The sequence below is a fragment of the Homo sapiens genome, chromosome 17 (genome assembly GCF_000001405.40).
Source record: "Homo sapiens chromosome 17, GRCh38.p14 Primary Assembly".
In the NCBI taxonomy this organism is placed as follows: domain Eukaryota; kingdom Metazoa; phylum Chordata; class Mammalia; order Primates; family Hominidae; genus Homo; species Homo sapiens.
The window spans coordinates 50063454-50079692 of NC_000017.11; the positions used below are offsets into that span (position 1 = coordinate 50063454).

The following is a 16239-nucleotide window of genomic DNA, read 5'->3' on the forward strand; positions in this document are numbered from 1 at the left end:
CCCCTAAGTTCTCCCCTCTGAACCCCCAGAATTTGAACTCTCTGCCAGGATTCCTCATCTTGCTCTCTTCTGGTCTACCTTCATCTCAAAGGCCAAAGCATTCCTTCCAAAACTGAGATCTGGCCATGTCATGCCCCTGCCTAAAATCCCTCTGTGGTTCCCCTAAGGACCTTCCCAGCCTGCCTTTGTGTGCCTCCCCAGAGGCTCCTGGACTCCAGCTATGCTGAGGGCCTTGCAGGTCTCTGATTCACCCTGCTGGCTCTTGCTTCCTGGCCCTGCACATGTGTGCCTTTGCCCAAGTGCTCTTCCTCCCCTTCTTCACCTGGAGAACCCTGGTGATTGTCCTCAGACTCAGATTAGGTCACCTCTTCTGCTGGCCTCCATCACTGCCCCCTCAGCCCTGAGCCTGGGCTACTGTGCTCCCTGCTTCCCACTCCCGGGGCACTTCCTTCTAGTGTCTTTTTTCCTTGCCTGCCTTACCCTACACTGGGCACTTCTGGAGGGCAGGAGCTGGGGGTCTCCTGGCACCAAGAATCTGTAAATGTATGTTGAATAAATAACAAGTTGTTCCAAGTGGGGCTTGGGGAGTCTGAACCCGGACCCACCTCCGTCCCTATCCCCAGGCTCCTGGCTGGTGCCCCCCGGGAGCTCGCTGTGCCCGATGGCTACACCAACCGGACTGGTGCTGTGTACCTGTGCCCACTCACTGCCCACAAGGATGACTGTGAGCGGATGAACATCACAGTGAAAAGTGAGGGGAAGGGGCTGGGGAGGGGTGCTGGGTCAGAGGTCTGGCAGGGGGGTACCGCAGAGAGAATGGCCTGGAGGAGATAGAAGGCTTGTTCACACGGCTTCTAGTCGCTTCTTGTCCAGCTGGGAAGAGGGTGCCCTAGAGGAGAGTGGGGCTGGATGGGATTGGTAGAGCTCAGAATAATGACGAGCTGGAGAAGGGGAGTTGGGAGGGCTGCCCTGTGGGTGGAGGGCCCAAGCGGGACCCACTCCTGCCCTCTGGAGACTTTGGGCACTGAAGTATGGGTGAGGTGCTCTGATTCATGATCCTTCCGGTGCCCACAGATGACCCTGGCCATCACATTATTGAGGACATGTGGCTTGGAGTGACTGTGGCCAGCCAGGGCCCTGCAGGCAGAGTTCTGGTAAGTGGGTGCTCAGTGTTGGCTCCTCCACCTCTACCCGGCTCTCCCCTCATCTCCAGAGCTGGGAGGAAAGAAGAGGGCAGCAGGGGGGTCCACGGCGCGTGTGTGCTGGGGCCTGCACACATGTCCCTTCCTGTGGCTGTGTGTCCCTCGCTCTCTGCACTCCTGGGGAGGGGGTGAGTATCCTGTGCTCTCCCAAACCCCCGCACGGCCTGAGTTCTCTGACTCATCCACTTCCTCCGCATGCCTACACTGGGTGCTCAGCCTTCGTGGGAACAAGCCGAGGGAGCCGAGGGAACTGCAAGGAGGAGAAAGGGCAGAGAGGGCCCCAGGCAGCTCAGCGCTGGCTGGCGCTCCTTCCTGGGAGGCTGACTGCCGGAAGAGGCCCAGCCCTGCTGACCCCGGCTCACCCAGCTCTGGTCTGGGGGCTAATCAAATGTGTCACCTCCTGCCCACATTCTATAGTGGCAGCCCCTGAGTTCTCCATTTCTGGGTCCCAGATAGACATTTCCCCCCGCATTTTTTTCTCTCTCTGTCTCTTGTTGTTGTTGTTATATTCCAAAAAGGATTTTGATTTTATTGCTTCACACACAGAAGAGTTCTGGTTAAGGCTTGCCTTGCTCCTGGTGCTCATATGATGCCACCAGGATGTGATTTATCTCAAGCACTTAACTCTGTGTTCTTCGTGTTGCCTCCATTCTTTGATAGGCATTCTTTTCGTAGTGCCAAGATGAATGCAACAGCTTCAGCTTTATCTTCTTTGACCTTCAAGTTCTATAGTCCCAGTAGATATCTGACTACAACTCATTAGCTCTGACTATTTCAGGTACTCCTCTCTGAAACAATTACTGTGACCAAGAGAATGCAATACTTATACTTTCTTCAGACATGAATTATCAGTATCCAGATAGGCACATAAACTCAGTCTTAGAATGTGTTGCTTTGATGTCAGGTTTTTCTCTTGCCTTGATAGTTCCACATGGCTGGGGAAGCCTCACAATCACGGTGGAAGGCAAGGAGGAGCAAGTCCCATCTTACGCTGATGGCAGCAGGCAAAGAGAGAATGAGGCTGTCTCTCTCTCTCTCTCTCTCTCTTTTCTTTTCTTTCTCTTCTTTCTTCTTTCTTTCAAGATAGAAGACTCCCAGCTGGGTGTGGTGGTTCACGCCTGTAATCCCAGCACTTTGGGAGGCCGAGGCCGGTGGATCATGAGGTCAGAAGTTCGAGACCAGCCTGGCCAATATGGTGAAACCCTGTCTCTACTAAAAATATAAAAAATAAGCCGGGTGCAGTGGTGCCCGTCTGTTGTCCCAGTTACTTGGGAGGCTGAGGCAGGAGAATCGCTTGAACCTGGGAGGTGGAGGTTGCAGTGAGCCAAGATCACACCACTGCATTCCAGCCTGGGTGACAGAGCGAGACTCCATCTCAAAAAAAAAAAAAAAAAAAAAAGACTCCATCTCTCAACCAGGCTGGAGTATAGTGGTGCCATCTCAGCTCACTGCAGCCTTGACTTCCCAGACTCAAGCGACCCTCCAGCCTTAGCCTCCCAAGCTAATTTTTAAAGTTTTTATAGAGACAGGGTCTGACTGTGTTGCCCAGGCTGGTCTCAAACTCCTGGGCTCAAGTGATCCTCCTGCCTTGGCCTCCCAAACTGCTAGTGCTAGGATTTCAGGCGTGAGCCACCGTATGTGGCCCCATTTTTCTTTTTCTTTCTTTTTTTTTTTTTTCTCTTAGAGATGAGGTCTGGCTCTGTCACCCAGGCTGGAGTGGGTGACATGATCATAGCTCACTGTAGCCTTGAACTCCTGGGCTCAAGTGATCCTCCTGCCTCGGCCTCCCAAGTAGTTGGGATTATAGGCAAGAGCAACAATGCCTGGCTTTTTTCTCATTTTAAAATTTGATGTGGCCAGGCTCGGTGGCTCATTCCTTTGGGATGAGGCAGGAGGATCGTTTGAGCCTAGGAGTTTGTGATCAACCTGGGCAACACGGCAAAATTCCATCTCTACCAAAAATATATAAATTAGCCCGGCATGGTGGTATGCGCCTGTAATCCCAGCTGCCTGGGAGGCTGAGGTGGGAGGATCACTTGAACCCCGGAGAGAAAGGTTGGAGTGAGCTGAGATCATGCCACTGCACTCCAGCCTGGGTGACAGAGTCAGATCCTGTCTCAAAAAGGAAAAAATTGATGTAATGTTTACATACAGTGAAATGTACAGATTTCAAACTTCAATGAATTTTTACAAATGTATGTACCTGTATAACCAAAGATATATCTTAAAATCACTCCAGAAGGTGCCCTTGTAACCCCTTCTAATCATTTGCCACCCCATAAGCCACCACTGCTGGGATTTCTGTCACCTTTGAACACTGTTTTAAGCTCCAGGTTGGCATCAGTTCACTGAAATGCCTTTTTGATAACCCTGTTATGGATGGCTGTGGTCTAGGAGCCCATTTAAAGTGATTCTGCACCCTGGATCCTTTAGCAGTTATTTACTCACTGTTCATTCAACAGATATTTGGTGAGCCCCTACTGTGTACCAAACACTGTGCTATTCCTAGAAGCTTAGCAGTGACTAAGACAGGCTCAGGTAACATGCTGGTGGAGCTCACAGCTAGAAGGGACCACAGAAAGCAAGTAAACAAGAACCAGGGCCTACTTCTGGACTTTGCCTGTCTCCAGGCTGTTTTAAGTCACCCTATTCTGGCCCATCAGTTTGCCCAATAAATATATACTGAGCAGCTAAAGTGCACCCAGAGAGGCTGCGCATAGATTCTCCCCTCCGTGAAGCAGCACAGCATGTGCTTAAGAGCTCAGATTTTGGAAGGAGACAGCCTTGGTTTGAATATTCTCTGCCTCTCTCTAGATATGAGATCTTATGCAGGTTACTGAGCTCTCCATGCCTCAGTTTATCTAAAATGGGGGAAATAATCATTCCTACACCATAGGGTCACTAGCAGGCTTAACACTTAATATGTGAGGAGTTCAGAATTGTGCCTGGCATATAGGAAGCACTCATGAAGTGTTAGCTGCTGCTATTATTATTACCGTCATTGTAATTATTATTTTAATAATGGTCCTTTCATTAAGAGGACAGGGTCATCTGGAGATGGCAGAGCAGCAAGTCCCTTAATCTCTCTGTTACTAACCCCTTCTAGACCAAGAGCCTGAACCCCACAGTCTCTCATCCTTCCCTGCTTTCCCTTTGCTGAGATCTCTAAGCCACTCTCAGATCCACACTTTACAGCTTTCCAAAAAGTGTTCCTGACCCTCAGAGCAGATTTCTGAATTCTGGAAAGGAGATGCAGGTTTAAGTATCACTGGGAGAAGGAGAAGCCAGGAGATCTCCTTTGACTCCTGTTTGGCAAAGCCAGAGGCTTACAGGGTAAAAGAGACAGCTGACCCGGGTCCCTGTGCCTGACTAAGGCTGCCTGTGTTTGGGGGGTCCCCAGGTCTGTGCCCACCGCTACACCCAGGTGCTGTGGTCAGGGTCAGAAGACCAGCGGCGCATGGTGGGCAAGTGCTACGTGCGAGGCAATGACCTAGAGCTGGACTCCAGTGATGACTGGCAGACCTACCACAACGAGATGTGCAATAGCAACACAGACTACCTGGAGACGGGCATGTGCCAGCTGGGCACCAGCGGTGGCTTCACCCAGAACACTGTGTACTTCGGCGCCCCCGGTGCCTACAACTGGAAAGGTGGGGACCATGGGGCCATGGGGGAAGAAAGGAAGAGCAGAGACCACCCACCCCTAGTTAGCCACGGGGACAGCTGGCCTAGACCATCCACACTAGAAACAGGACCTCATGCCAGTATCAGCAACCACCATGACTTCTACTGTTTTAAAGCACTTACTATGTGCCAGGGGCCTTACGCATATTATGTCAATCAATCTTTTTTGTTGTTTTTTTGACATAGGGTCTCACTATGTCACCCAGGCTGGAGTGCAGTGGCACATTCATGGCTCACTGCAGCCTCGACCTCCCCAGGCTCAGGTGATCCTCCAACCTCAGCTTCTTGAGTAGCTATGACCGCAGGCATGTGCCACTACACCTGGCTAATTTCTGTATTTTTTGTAGAGATGGAGTTTCACCATGTTGCTCAGGCTAGTCTTGAACTCCTGGGCTTAAGCAATCCACCCTCCTCGGCCTCCCAAAGTGCTGGGATTATGGGCATGAGCCACCATGCCCAGCCTCAATCAGTCTTTTTTATTTATTTATTTATTTATTTATTTATTTATTTATTTATTTATTTTTTTGAGACAGAGTCTCACTCTGTCACCCAGGCTGGAGTGCAGTGGTGCAATCTCGGCTCACTGCAAGCTCCACCTCCAGGGTTCACGCCATTCTCCTGCCTCAGCCTCTTGAGTAGCTGGGACTACAGGTGCCCGCCACCATGCCCGGCTAATTTTTTTGTATTTTTAGTAGAGACGGGCTTTCACCGTGTTAGCCAGGATGGTCTCAATCTCCTGACCTCGTGATCCGCTCACCTCGGTCTCCCAAAGTACTGGGATTACAGGCGTGAGCCACCGCGCCCAGCCTAATCATTCTTAAAATACTCTTATGAGGCAAGTATTATTATATCCATTTTACAAAAACAAAAACTAAGACTTAGAGAAGTAAATTGCCCAAGGCCAACAAAGTTATGAAACCTGGATTGGAATACAGGTCCATCTGACTTCAGTTTAACCATTTACAAACTAATTCTAAAAATAAAACATGCTCCTGGTACAACCACTACATAGTACAGTAGGCAATGTCCTATAATAATAGTTATCGCCAGGTGCAGTGGCTCATGCCTGTAATCCCAACACTTTGGAAAACTGAGGTGGGAGGATCACTTGAGCCCAGGAGTTCAAGACTAACGTGGGCAACGTAGGGAGACCTTGTCTCTACAAAAAATTTAAAAATTAGCCAGGTGTGGTGGCACACACCTATGGTCCCAGCTACTCAGGAGGCTGAGGTGGGAGGATCGCTTGGGCCCAGGAGGTTGAGGCTGCAGTGAGCTGCGATTGTGCCACTGTCCTCCAGCCTGAGCAGCAGAGCAAGACCTTATCTCAAAAAACTAAATAAATATCGCTACTTTCTCTCTTTCTCTTATCAAAAGTCATGGGCACTTTTTCATGTTGATATATATAGGACCATCATTTTAGAGGATGAAGGGTATTTTCTTGTAAAAGACCATGCTTGTAAAAGACCACACTACACATGGTCTCACAGGGGGTGTCTGACAGCTTATACTCCCTCCATCTCTTTGCCTCCCTCCATCACACAGGTTGTAGCAATAGGGACCCCTTTTCCCTTACTGAACCTTTATTGTTGTAGAATCAGCAGGCAGAGGAGCCTTGAATCTCCTCTTGACCAACATGTAGCCCCAGGCATAGTCACAGCTCTGGGCTCACCGAAGGCTGAGGCCTCTGCCCCCTCTTCTGGTCCTGCCTCCCACCCCCTGGTCATGTAGCACCTTGGCAAAGTCACAGATACTCTCCAGCAGCAGCCCTGGGTGCAGGGTCCAGCTAGGCAGCCCGAGTTTGGGGTCAGGACCAGAAAGAGATAATGGTGTGGAGTCTGACCTCAGTGTCTAGAGAGTGGGGAAAGCCATCTAGCATCTAATATCCAGGAGCCTGAGTGATTAAGTTCTAGCCATGGCTCTACAACCAGCTCCCCATGGGACTATGAGCAAGTCAACTTCCCTCCTGAGCCTCACTTATCTGCAAAATGGGGGTCATAATTTAACCTCAAATAATTGTTATAATAGGCCAGGCACAGTGGCTGACACCTGTAATCCCAGCACTTTGGGAGGCCAAGGCAGATGGATCACTTGAGGCCAGGAGTTTGAGACCAGCCTGGCCAACATGGTGAAACCTTGTCTCTACTGAAAATACAAAAATTAGCCGGGCATGGTGGCGCATGCCTGTAATCCCAGCTACTCGGGAGGCTGAGGCAGGAGAATCGCTTGAACCCAGGAAGCGGAGGTTGCAGTGAGGCAAGATCACACCATTGCACTCCAGCCTGGGCAACAAGAGCAAGACTGTCTCAAAAAAAAAAAAAAAAAAAAAAAAGGAAAAAAGAATTGTTAAAGAGGATGTGTTTTATAAATGGCAAAATGCTCACCAATAAAAGGGGTTATTACTATCCTTGTTGGGTGGGGGTGGGGGTGGGCTGGACATGGTAGAGGAAACCAGAAACCGGTGGTGACTTATACTCCCTACTCTCCCTCCCTCAATCCCTGTGAAGGAAACAGCTACATGATTCAGCGCAAGGAGTGGGACTTATCTGAGTATAGTTACAAGGACCCAGAGGACCAAGGAAACCTCTATATTGGTGAGTACAGTAGTGGTAGCCCATCAAGTGGTAGAGGGGAAGGGGGCTTAGTCCCTGGTGGAAAGGTGAGGCCAGAGTGCAGTTGTGACTAATGGCATTTAGTTAAACTAGCACACACGGATTGGCCGGCACCTGTATGCCAGGCCCTGTTCCAAGCTCCCAAGATGCAAAGTTCTTGACTTCAGGATGCTCACAGTCCAGTGTCCAGGCAGAACTGGGCCATGGCTGCTGGCCATCTGGAGTCTACTTTCTTGCCCTACTTGGAATAGTGGGATAGAACATCATGGTGGGGGGCAAGAGAGGGAATAGGGAGATGGGTCCAGAGTAGAAAGAGACGAAGTTGACTGGGACCTTGGTTGAACATCTTCCCTCTATCCCAGGGTACACGATGCAGGTAGGCAGCTTCATCCTGCACCCCAAAAACATCACCATTGTGACAGGTGCCCCACGGCACCGACATATGGGCGCGGTGTTCTTGCTGAGCCAGGAGGCAGGCGGAGACCTGCGGAGGAGGCAGGTGCTGGAGGGCTCGCAGGTGGGCGCCTATTTTGGCAGCGCCATTGCCCTGGCAGACCTGAACAATGATGGGTGAGAATCTAGGGACATCCTCTGGGGCCAGGGAGAGCGATGGGCGGGGGAAGGCTTACCTAAGCCAGGTGAGGGGAGTGGAGGATTTGCAGTTGTGCGGCTGTCTGCATGTTGTTTGCAGAGGTTTGCAGTCAGGCTTTATGGGAGTCTGAGCACCTGCACATGGCATTTGTGGGACCCCTGCGTTTGCTTGTTTCTGCTTGGGATTTGTATGCTCCAGTGGATGTGGATTGTTTGGGTTTGATTTGTGCCTGCATGGCGTCTCCATGACATATGTCTTCTATTTGGTGGGTCATATTGGCATCTCCATGTCCTTCCCATGCACATGTCCTTCCCACCCATGACCTGTGGCCGGAAGAGCCATTTGCAGAGCCCTGTGCCCTGGCACAGTCACACCTGTCAAACAAGAACTATGCTGCATATTGGAGGCTGACCTCACACTCCCATTTCCCTCCTCTCCTGTGTAGGTGGCAGGACCTCCTGGTGGGCGCCCCCTACTACTTCGAGAGGAAAGAGGAAGTAGGGGGTGCCATCTATGTCTTCATGAACCAGGCGGGAACCTCCTTCCCTGCTCACCCCTCACTCCTTCTTCATGGCCCCAGTGGCTCTGCCTTTGGTTTATCTGTGGCCAGCATTGGTGACATCAACCAGGATGGATTTCAGGGTATGAGCCAGCACTCCTCCCCCAGCACCCCTCCTCCAGCACCCCTCCTCCCAGCACCCCTACTGACTGAGCACCAGCTGCACATCAGGCTTGACAGGGCCCACAGATGAGACAGGATGGGGCCGGACCTGGGGAGCTCGCAGCAGTACTAGAGAGAGGATGTGCAGATGTGCAGAGGAAGCACAGAGGCAAGCTCAGTGGGCCTCCTGGAGGAGCTTGCATGCCACTGTGCAGCCAAGGCTGGGCTGAGAGTGCACAGTAGAGAACTGATGGGGCACAACATGGGTGTGGAAACTGGCCTGGTGTGCCCAAATCTAGCGGGTGTAGAGTGTTCACATCAGAGAGGAGGCTGGAGGGGGAGTGGGGTGGGGTGGGGTGAGGATGGATGCTTTGAAAGCCAGGCAGAGTATCTTAGGGATTTATATTTGGGTAATGGTGATGGTGGGGTCATGGGGCATCCAGAGAAAGTTTTAGGGCAGGGATGTGATATAATAACTTTGTACCCTGAAGGATGATTCTGGAAGGGGTATGGAATGAGTGATTGCAGGGATGGAGCAAGGCCAGGGGAGTTAAGATCAAGAATGTAATATCTCAGGTGGGAGATGATAAGGAATGGGACAAGGTGGGAGCCCTGGATATAGGGGTCCTCATAAGTGTTCTGCAGGACTTGGGGACCAATCGGACCTGGGGTATCAGGGACAGGGGCAGACCCAGGGCTGGAGTCAGTGCCATGGGGGCACCTGGCTTATCTGAAAGTCACTTCTCTGATAATCTCAGTTTCCCAGGACATAGCTGAGAACCAAGAGGAAGGCAAAGGAGCCTCTGAAGACCCAAAATAGGTGCCAGAAAGTTCAGTCACCAGAGGCCAAGTGTGCACTGTGGAAATCATTTGGTTTCGGCCTGGGACCTGCTTCTGCTCCCTTTACAGGCCTTACTAACAAGCTTGGCTTGCTGATTCCCTAGGCCTTATCTGATCCAAAGCTGCAAACTGGAAAGAGTTCAGTTTAAGAAGATAACCAAATACTTGGGGGTTATTTGTGGAGATAATGATTAGAATGTAAAAAGCCTTGACACTTTCAGTGAAGTTCACTGTAGTGTTGTGGTTAAAATCCCAGCCCCTGCTGTGAGACAGCCCTGGGCTCAAATTTTCTCTTTTCTACACTCATTAGTTGTACAACTCTGGGTTTTTGGAGTGTCTCCTCATCTATAAAGTGGGGGGATAATAGTACCCACCCCACAGCACTCTCGTGAAAATTAAATGAATAGCTGGGTGTGTTGGTGTGTGCCTGTCCCAGCTACTTGGGAGGCTGAGGTGGGAGGATCCCTTCAGTCCAGGAGGTTGAGGCTGCAGTGAGCTATGACTGTGCCACTGCACTCCAGCCTGGGTCACAGAGCGAGACACTGTCTATAAACACACACACACACACACACACACACACACACACACACACGCACACACGCACACACACTGAATGCTTGACAACTGTCTGGTAGAGTCACTTGTCATCTCCTGAACCTACTTTCCCACCCGTGATAGGAGGAAGCTGGGCTCCAGATGGTCCCAGTGTTCATCCTGAGCTGCAGAGCTCTGCTCTGTCCCTGATGCTCTGAGCCCTGCCCATCAATCAGGCCAAGATCAGTTCTGTGCTGGGCTGTATGGCCTGGAGCAAAGAGTTAGGGAGACGTGGGGCCCAGAGTACCTGGGTGACCCTGTCTTGCCTTTTCTTCTGCAGATATTGCTGTGGGAGCTCCGTTTGAAGGCTTGGGCAAAGTGTACATCTATCACAGTAGCTCTAAGGGGCTCCTTAGACAGCCCCAGCAGGTACAGAGAGACGGGGATGGGTCTGCTGCCCCCACCAGCCGAGATGGGCCTTCCTTGCTTTCCTTCACCCAACCCTTCCCTGTAGCCCCCTGGGCCCTGCTCCCCAGAGCCTGCCCCCACCACTTTCCCCTGCCCCCAGGTAATCCATGGAGAGAAGCTGGGACTGCCTGGGTTGGCCACCTTCGGCTATTCCCTCAGTGGGCAGATGGATGTGGATGAGAACTTCTACCCAGACCTTCTAGTGGGAAGCCTGTCAGACCACATTGTGCTGCTGCGGTGAGCCAGGAGGCCAGTGAATAAGGGTCTTTCTCTTCTTCATCTTTGTCTGCACAGATTCCCATCTGTGTCCATGTTTGCGCTAGCTCCTTGGAAGCCTGGGCCCCAACTCTGGCCTGGGGCAGGCAGGAGGCACTGATATCTGTCTGGCTCTGTTGTCTCTGCAGGGCCCGGCCCGTCATCAACATCGTCCACAAGACCTTGGTGCCCAGGCCAGCTGTGCTGGACCCTGCACTTTGCACGGCCACCTCTTGGTGAGATTGTTCTGCCCACCTACTCCTCATTTATTTATAGGGAGGCTAGGAGGGGCTGCAGCTCCCAAACCCCTCCCCTGGCCTCCTGACATCCCACCTTTAGAAATTTGATTCTTGGGGCCAGCATTTGCCCTCTCTACCCAACCTCATTAAAAAGCAAAATTCCTTGTAAGAGGTAATGGATGAAGTCGGGGGCAGTAGAGTATAGTGGTTCAAGGTGGGAGCTCTGGACGGCCTGGTTCAAATCCCAGCTATGCCAGTGCAGGGGTGGGGATGGGCTCTGGAAAGGGGGACGCATTTAAGTGGATGGATATGGAGGAGAGTCTCCTCAGGTGAATTATTAATCCCTCTTAGGCTCAGATTTCTTGCTTGTAGAACAGAATTGATAATAACTGATTCACAGGGTTGTTGTGATAATTAAATGAGAAAATATACAGAAAGTCCTTAGCACAGCACTGTGTATACCCTAAGTGCTCAAAAAATGTTAGTTGCTAAGAAAGTGACAGTAATGATGGCGATGACCCCAAGGTCTTTAAGTGAATGAGGATTTTGGATCAGAAGACAAAGGCAGACAGAGCAGGGAAATGGGGTGGTTGGTGCAAGGAGACCTGGACTGGGGATTGGCCGACCTAGGTTCAAGACTGGGCTGGGCCACCAACTGACTGAGGACTTCAGACAAGTCCTTCTGGGCCCTAGGCCTCAGTTTCCCCATTAGTGACCTCTAACCCTGTTCTCTTTGGCTTTAAGGGGAGTGGAAGGGAAGGGGTCAGGGACACCACAGACCTGCTTTGTGGACTCCCCAGTTTTGTCCCTGCCTCTCTCCAGAAGGGCCTCGGTTTCCTTTTGCCCAGTACAGAGGCGAGAGCTAGGGCCTGGACGTGTGTGTCCCACTGTGACCCGCCCTCCTGTACATCCCTCCAACAGTGTGCAAGTGGAGCTGTGCTTTGCTTACAACCAGAGTGCCGGGAACCCCAACTACAGGCGAAACATCAGTGAGTGCTGGGGTGCAGCGTAAAAGGGGTACGCTCCCCTGTCCCCTTGCTGACCACCCTGTCTACCTGTAGCCCTGGCCTACACTCTGGAGGCTGACAGGGACCGCCGGCCGCCCCGGCTCCGCTTTGCCGGCAGTGAGTCCGCTGTCTTCCACGGCTTCTTCTCCATGCCCGAGATGCGCTGCCAGAAGCTGGAGCTGCTCCTGATGGTGAGGGAGGAGCAAGGGTCAGGATGAGGGCTCCCAGGTCCCTGGAGGAGGTGGCCAGTGTCCCCCTAGATCAAGGGTGAGGGACGGGGGTCTCCCCAGAGACAGAGGTTGGGGACATCGGTTTGGAAGGCTATTGGTGTGTAGGAGTACAGTGTACAGCACCCACACATGAGGAGTGATGGAGACCCTTGGGGTGGGGATGGGGCCAAAGGGCTTATTACCTCCAAGGAAAGTGAGGAGTGTGGGAGCTCTTGGCTCAGCCCACCTCTGGGAAAAGGGGTCCCTGAGTAGGGAGCAAGGTCAGTCCCTCTCTGGGACATCAGGGTGGAAGGGGAGAGCTCAACCTGGAGACCCTGTGGATGGGGAGGTGAAGGGACTTTTGAGGAGGAGAAGCCCTGTCTCTCCTCTTGGAGGGTCAGGATAGTAGGAAGTCGCAATTTGGCGACCGGACTGGAGGGAGTTCAGCCTAACTGTCAGGTTTTCAGGGTGGGGGGCGGGTCCAGCTCTTCTCTGGGGTTCAGGGTGGTGTGAGGATTCAGCTGGGGCAGGGAGCAGTGCAGGGCCGGGCTCAGCTCACCCTCTCTCCCCAGGACAACCTCCGTGACAAACTCCGCCCCATCATCATCTCCATGAACTACTCTTTACCTTTGCGGATGCCCGATCGCCCCCGGCTGGGGCTGCGGTCCCTGGACGCCTACCCGATCCTCAACCAGGCACAGGCTCTGGAGAACCACACTGAGGTGAGTGGGGCTGGCGCCTGGACTGGAAGACCAGGGGCCAGAAGGGCGGTGGGGCGAGAGGGCACTGGGGGGGGTGGTGCGGCCTTCACACCTCCGGCCACCCCCCAGGTCCAGTTCCAGAAGGAGTGCGGGCCTGACAACAAGTGTGAGAGCAACTTGCAGATGCGGGCAGCCTTCGTGTCAGAGCAGCAGCAGAAGCTGAGCAGGTGGCTGTGGGCCGCCGGCCGCGTTAATCGGCCAAGGGTGGGACGGGGCCTCATTAACTGGCAGGGTGGGGGCGGGGCCTCATGGCAAGGCGAGCCCAGGGACAGGGCTTTAGCGGGAACAGGTGGGATGGTCAGAAACGGGGCTTTCTCCTCCAGGTGCGACTAGAGGACGGGGCCTGGCTGTCCCAAGATGGGCTTTTCTCACCTAGGAGACCCCAGGGGCGGGGCCTAGTTGATCCGGGAGTGCCCTGGGGGCGGGGCTCTTGGCTGAGTCCTGGGCTCCTGCTCTCAGGCTCCAGTACAGCAGAGACGTCCGGAAATTGCTCCTGAGCATCAACGTGACGAACACCCGGACCTCGGAGCGCTCCGGGGAGGACGCCCACGAGGCGCTGCTCACCCTGGTGGTGCCTCCCGCCCTGCTGCTGTCCTCAGTGCGCCCCGTGAGTGCCCGCCGGCCGGCTCAGAGCCCAAGCAGGGCTCCCCGCGTCTTTGCATCCCCATATCCATGTCCTGTGCAGGTGTTGTCGTCTGCCACGTGCCCACCTCCTCTGGTCTGGGCCTTCTTGGGGGCCTTAGCGTCTCTGCTGCTTGGAGAATCCGGCTCTCAAGCTCTAGGGCTTCTGACCTTGCACCACAGAGGAGGGAGGACAAGCCCTACTTTGACCCGACCCTGACCTTATTCGCCTTCTTTCCTCAGCCCGGGGCCTGCCAAGCTAATGAGACCATCTTTTGCGAGCTGGGGAACCCCTTCAAACGGAACCAGAGGGTGAGCACCGGCCACATCCTCCCAGTCCTCCTGGGTCCCTGGCTGCACCTCTGATGAGCTCCTTGTCCTTCCAGCCTCTGCCTGCCTGCTTTCTGGGCTCCCTCGAAGTGGAGAGCCACAGTGCGGGAGGAGAGACTCAGTAGAGGGTGAGAAGAGGCCCAGAAACTAAGACAAATGGGGCTGCTAGGGAGCTGTGCACAAAGCTAGAGCAGGTGGAGGGGAGGAAACCAGTTTGACCAAGCACCAACTGTGTGCCAGCCCCTGAGCCCAACACTGTGCTTCTTTGATATGATATAATTCTCACAGCCTTCTGAGGAGGTAGATGCTCTTTTACAGAAGAGGAAACACACACTTAGAAAGTTTCAGTTACCTGCTCAAGGTTATGTAGCTCAAAAGTAGCAGAGATGTGACCTGATGGAGAGAAAGGGGGAAAGGGAGGCAGAGGTGGGGTGGGGAGGTAGAGACCCCTCACCCAGAATAGGAGGAGGAGGAGAAGGCCAGAAAGCCAACTAGAATAGTGTGCATCCCCTCCTTCCCCATGACATCACCCCCGCCAGGCCCCATATGCCACTCTCTGCCTCCCTGACCCTTGTGGCAGATGGAGCTGCTCATCGCCTTTGAGGTCATCGGGGTGACCCTGCACACAAGGGACCTTCAGGTGCAGCTGCAGCTCTCCACGTGAGTGACCTCGAAAAGCCAGTCTGGGTCAGGGCTGAGGTATCTTGGATCACCTTCCTAACCCCTGCATTTCCTCCCAAGGTCGAGTCACCAGGACAACCTGTGGCCCATGATCCTCACTCTGCTGGTGGACTATACACTCCAGACCTCGCTTAGCATGTGGGTACCGCTCTCCACCACCCCCACCCCAGCCTGCTGTGCCTAAGCTAGGGTTCCCTATCCCCAAGCTATCTCCCAAACTCCTCTGACCCCTCTCTTGGCCCAGTGTCCTCAGGCCTCCACTTTCCCTGGATCATCCTTTTCTTAACAACAACAATCACTATCGTTACCGTTACTATTCCCCCTGTAAAGCAGGCAGAAATGGAGGAATCAGCAACCCCGGGGCTAAGGTGTTGTCCCTACCATTTTATAAGAGCTCATTGTGCTAAGGATTTTATATACATCATCTCAATGACTTCTCACAGCAGCCCTGTGATACAACAGCTATGATTAAGTCCATTTTACAGATGAGGAGACTGAGGCTCAGAGAGGATAAATAGCTTGCTTGAGTCCATAAAGCTTGTAAATGCAGAGCTGAGGTTTCTATTGAGGTGACTGATGTCAGAGGGGCTATAGTTAGCCAGCTTTGGTGCCCACCCCCCTCTGCCAGGGCCCTGGTCTCTTGTCCCCCGTGACTCCAGCATCCTTCTTACCCCTAGGGTAAATCACCGGCTACAAAGCTTCTTTGGGGGGACAGTGATGGGTGAGTCTGGCATGAAAACTGTGGAGGATGTAGGAAGCCCCCTCAAGTATGAATTCCAGGTAAGGGGCTCGCCAGAGTCCTGGGCTGGGGACTTCTAGGAAGGATTATTTTTATTTTCTCTGGGGTCTGAAGGTGGGAGGGTTGGGGGTTGGTAAGATGGAGGTGGTTTTCCAGGAGATAATGACTATGACACATCTTGTGCCCACAGGTGGGCCCAATGGGGGAGGGGCTGGTGGGCCTGGGGACCCTGGTCCTAGGTCTGGAGTGGCCCTACGAAGTCAGCAATGGCAAGTGGCTGCTGTATCCCACGGAGATCACCGTCCATGGCAATGGGTCCTGGCCCTGCCGACCACCTGGAGACCTTATCAACCCTCTCAACCTCACTCTTTCTGTAAGGACACTATCAGGGATATTTCATTTGCATGCTACAGGGCAGAAAGGCCAGTGTCTTCCCCTCCCTCCCCTCATACCCCTTTGGCAAGCTGTCTCTCCTACCCTTTCCTTTCCTGCAACCCTGCTCCCAATTCTTCCTCTGCCCTGCCAGCAAATCTCCTATTTCCTCTCCAGGACCCTGGGGACAGGCCATCATCCCCACAGCGCAGGCGGCGACAGCTGGATCCAGGGGGAGGCCAGGGCCCCCCACCTGTCACTCTGGCTGCTGCCAAAAAAGCCAAGTCTGAGACTGTGCTGGTGAGTGGCCAGGGCGAGGTTGGAGGGGATTGCATCCACCCCATCACAGGGTGCCTGGGCACCAGGGGCACACAAAGCAAGGGAGACCTCAGTGTGATGAGGTGATGAGGCCCCTGCTCTTGGGAGCCTCCAGAC

General features: G+C 53.2%; 1 protein-coding gene across 3 annotated transcripts in view, besides 1 other annotated feature; it reads left to right on the plus strand.

The window, feature by feature from the left end:
• Positions 1–16239, plus strand: part of ITGA3 (integrin subunit alpha 3) — a 34372-nt gene that overhangs the window by 7344 nt on the left and 10789 nt on the right. The window contains exons 2-21 of one of the 3 annotated variants that reach the window (NM_002204.4): positions 624–751; positions 1075–1154; positions 4603–4852; positions 7391–7477; positions 7858–8065; positions 8533–8729; positions 10463–10551; positions 10691–10827; positions 10995–11081; positions 12006–12073; positions 12146–12282; positions 12873–13022; positions 13131–13228; positions 13521–13668; positions 13926–13994; positions 14593–14672; positions 14754–14831; positions 15371–15473; positions 15623–15805; positions 15982–16104. In NM_002204.4, coding sequence (NP_002195.1) covers positions 624–751; positions 1075–1154; positions 4603–4852; positions 7391–7477; positions 7858–8065; positions 8533–8729; positions 10463–10551; positions 10691–10827; positions 10995–11081; positions 12006–12073; positions 12146–12282; positions 12873–13022; positions 13131–13228; positions 13521–13668; positions 13926–13994; positions 14593–14672; positions 14754–14831; positions 15371–15473; positions 15623–15805; positions 15982–16104 — 2500 coding nt within the window. Of the gene's footprint in view, positions 1–623; positions 752–1074; positions 1155–4602; positions 4853–7390; positions 7478–7857; positions 8066–8532; positions 8730–10462; positions 10552–10690; positions 10828–10994; positions 11082–12005; positions 12074–12145; positions 12283–12872; positions 13023–13130; positions 13229–13520; positions 13669–13925; positions 13995–14551; positions 14673–14753; positions 14832–15370; positions 15474–15622; positions 15806–15981; positions 16105–16239 lie in introns of those variants that run through there. The other 2 variants (XM_005257308.3, XM_047435922.1) reach the window with 2 other exon arrangements.
• Positions 655–1854: an enhancer, noted in NCBI's record as "P300/CBP strongly-dependent group 1 enhancer chr17:48141472-48142671 (GRCh37/hg19 assembly coordinates)". NCBI's record gives its function as "activates an origin of replication core promoter dependent on BRD2, BRD4, P300/CBP, MED14 and CDK7 cofactors, with strong dependence on P300/CBP, by STARR-seq in HCT116 cells {active_cell/tissue: HCT116}" and the evidence as "EXISTENCE:reporter gene assay evidence [ECO:0000049][PMID:35650434]".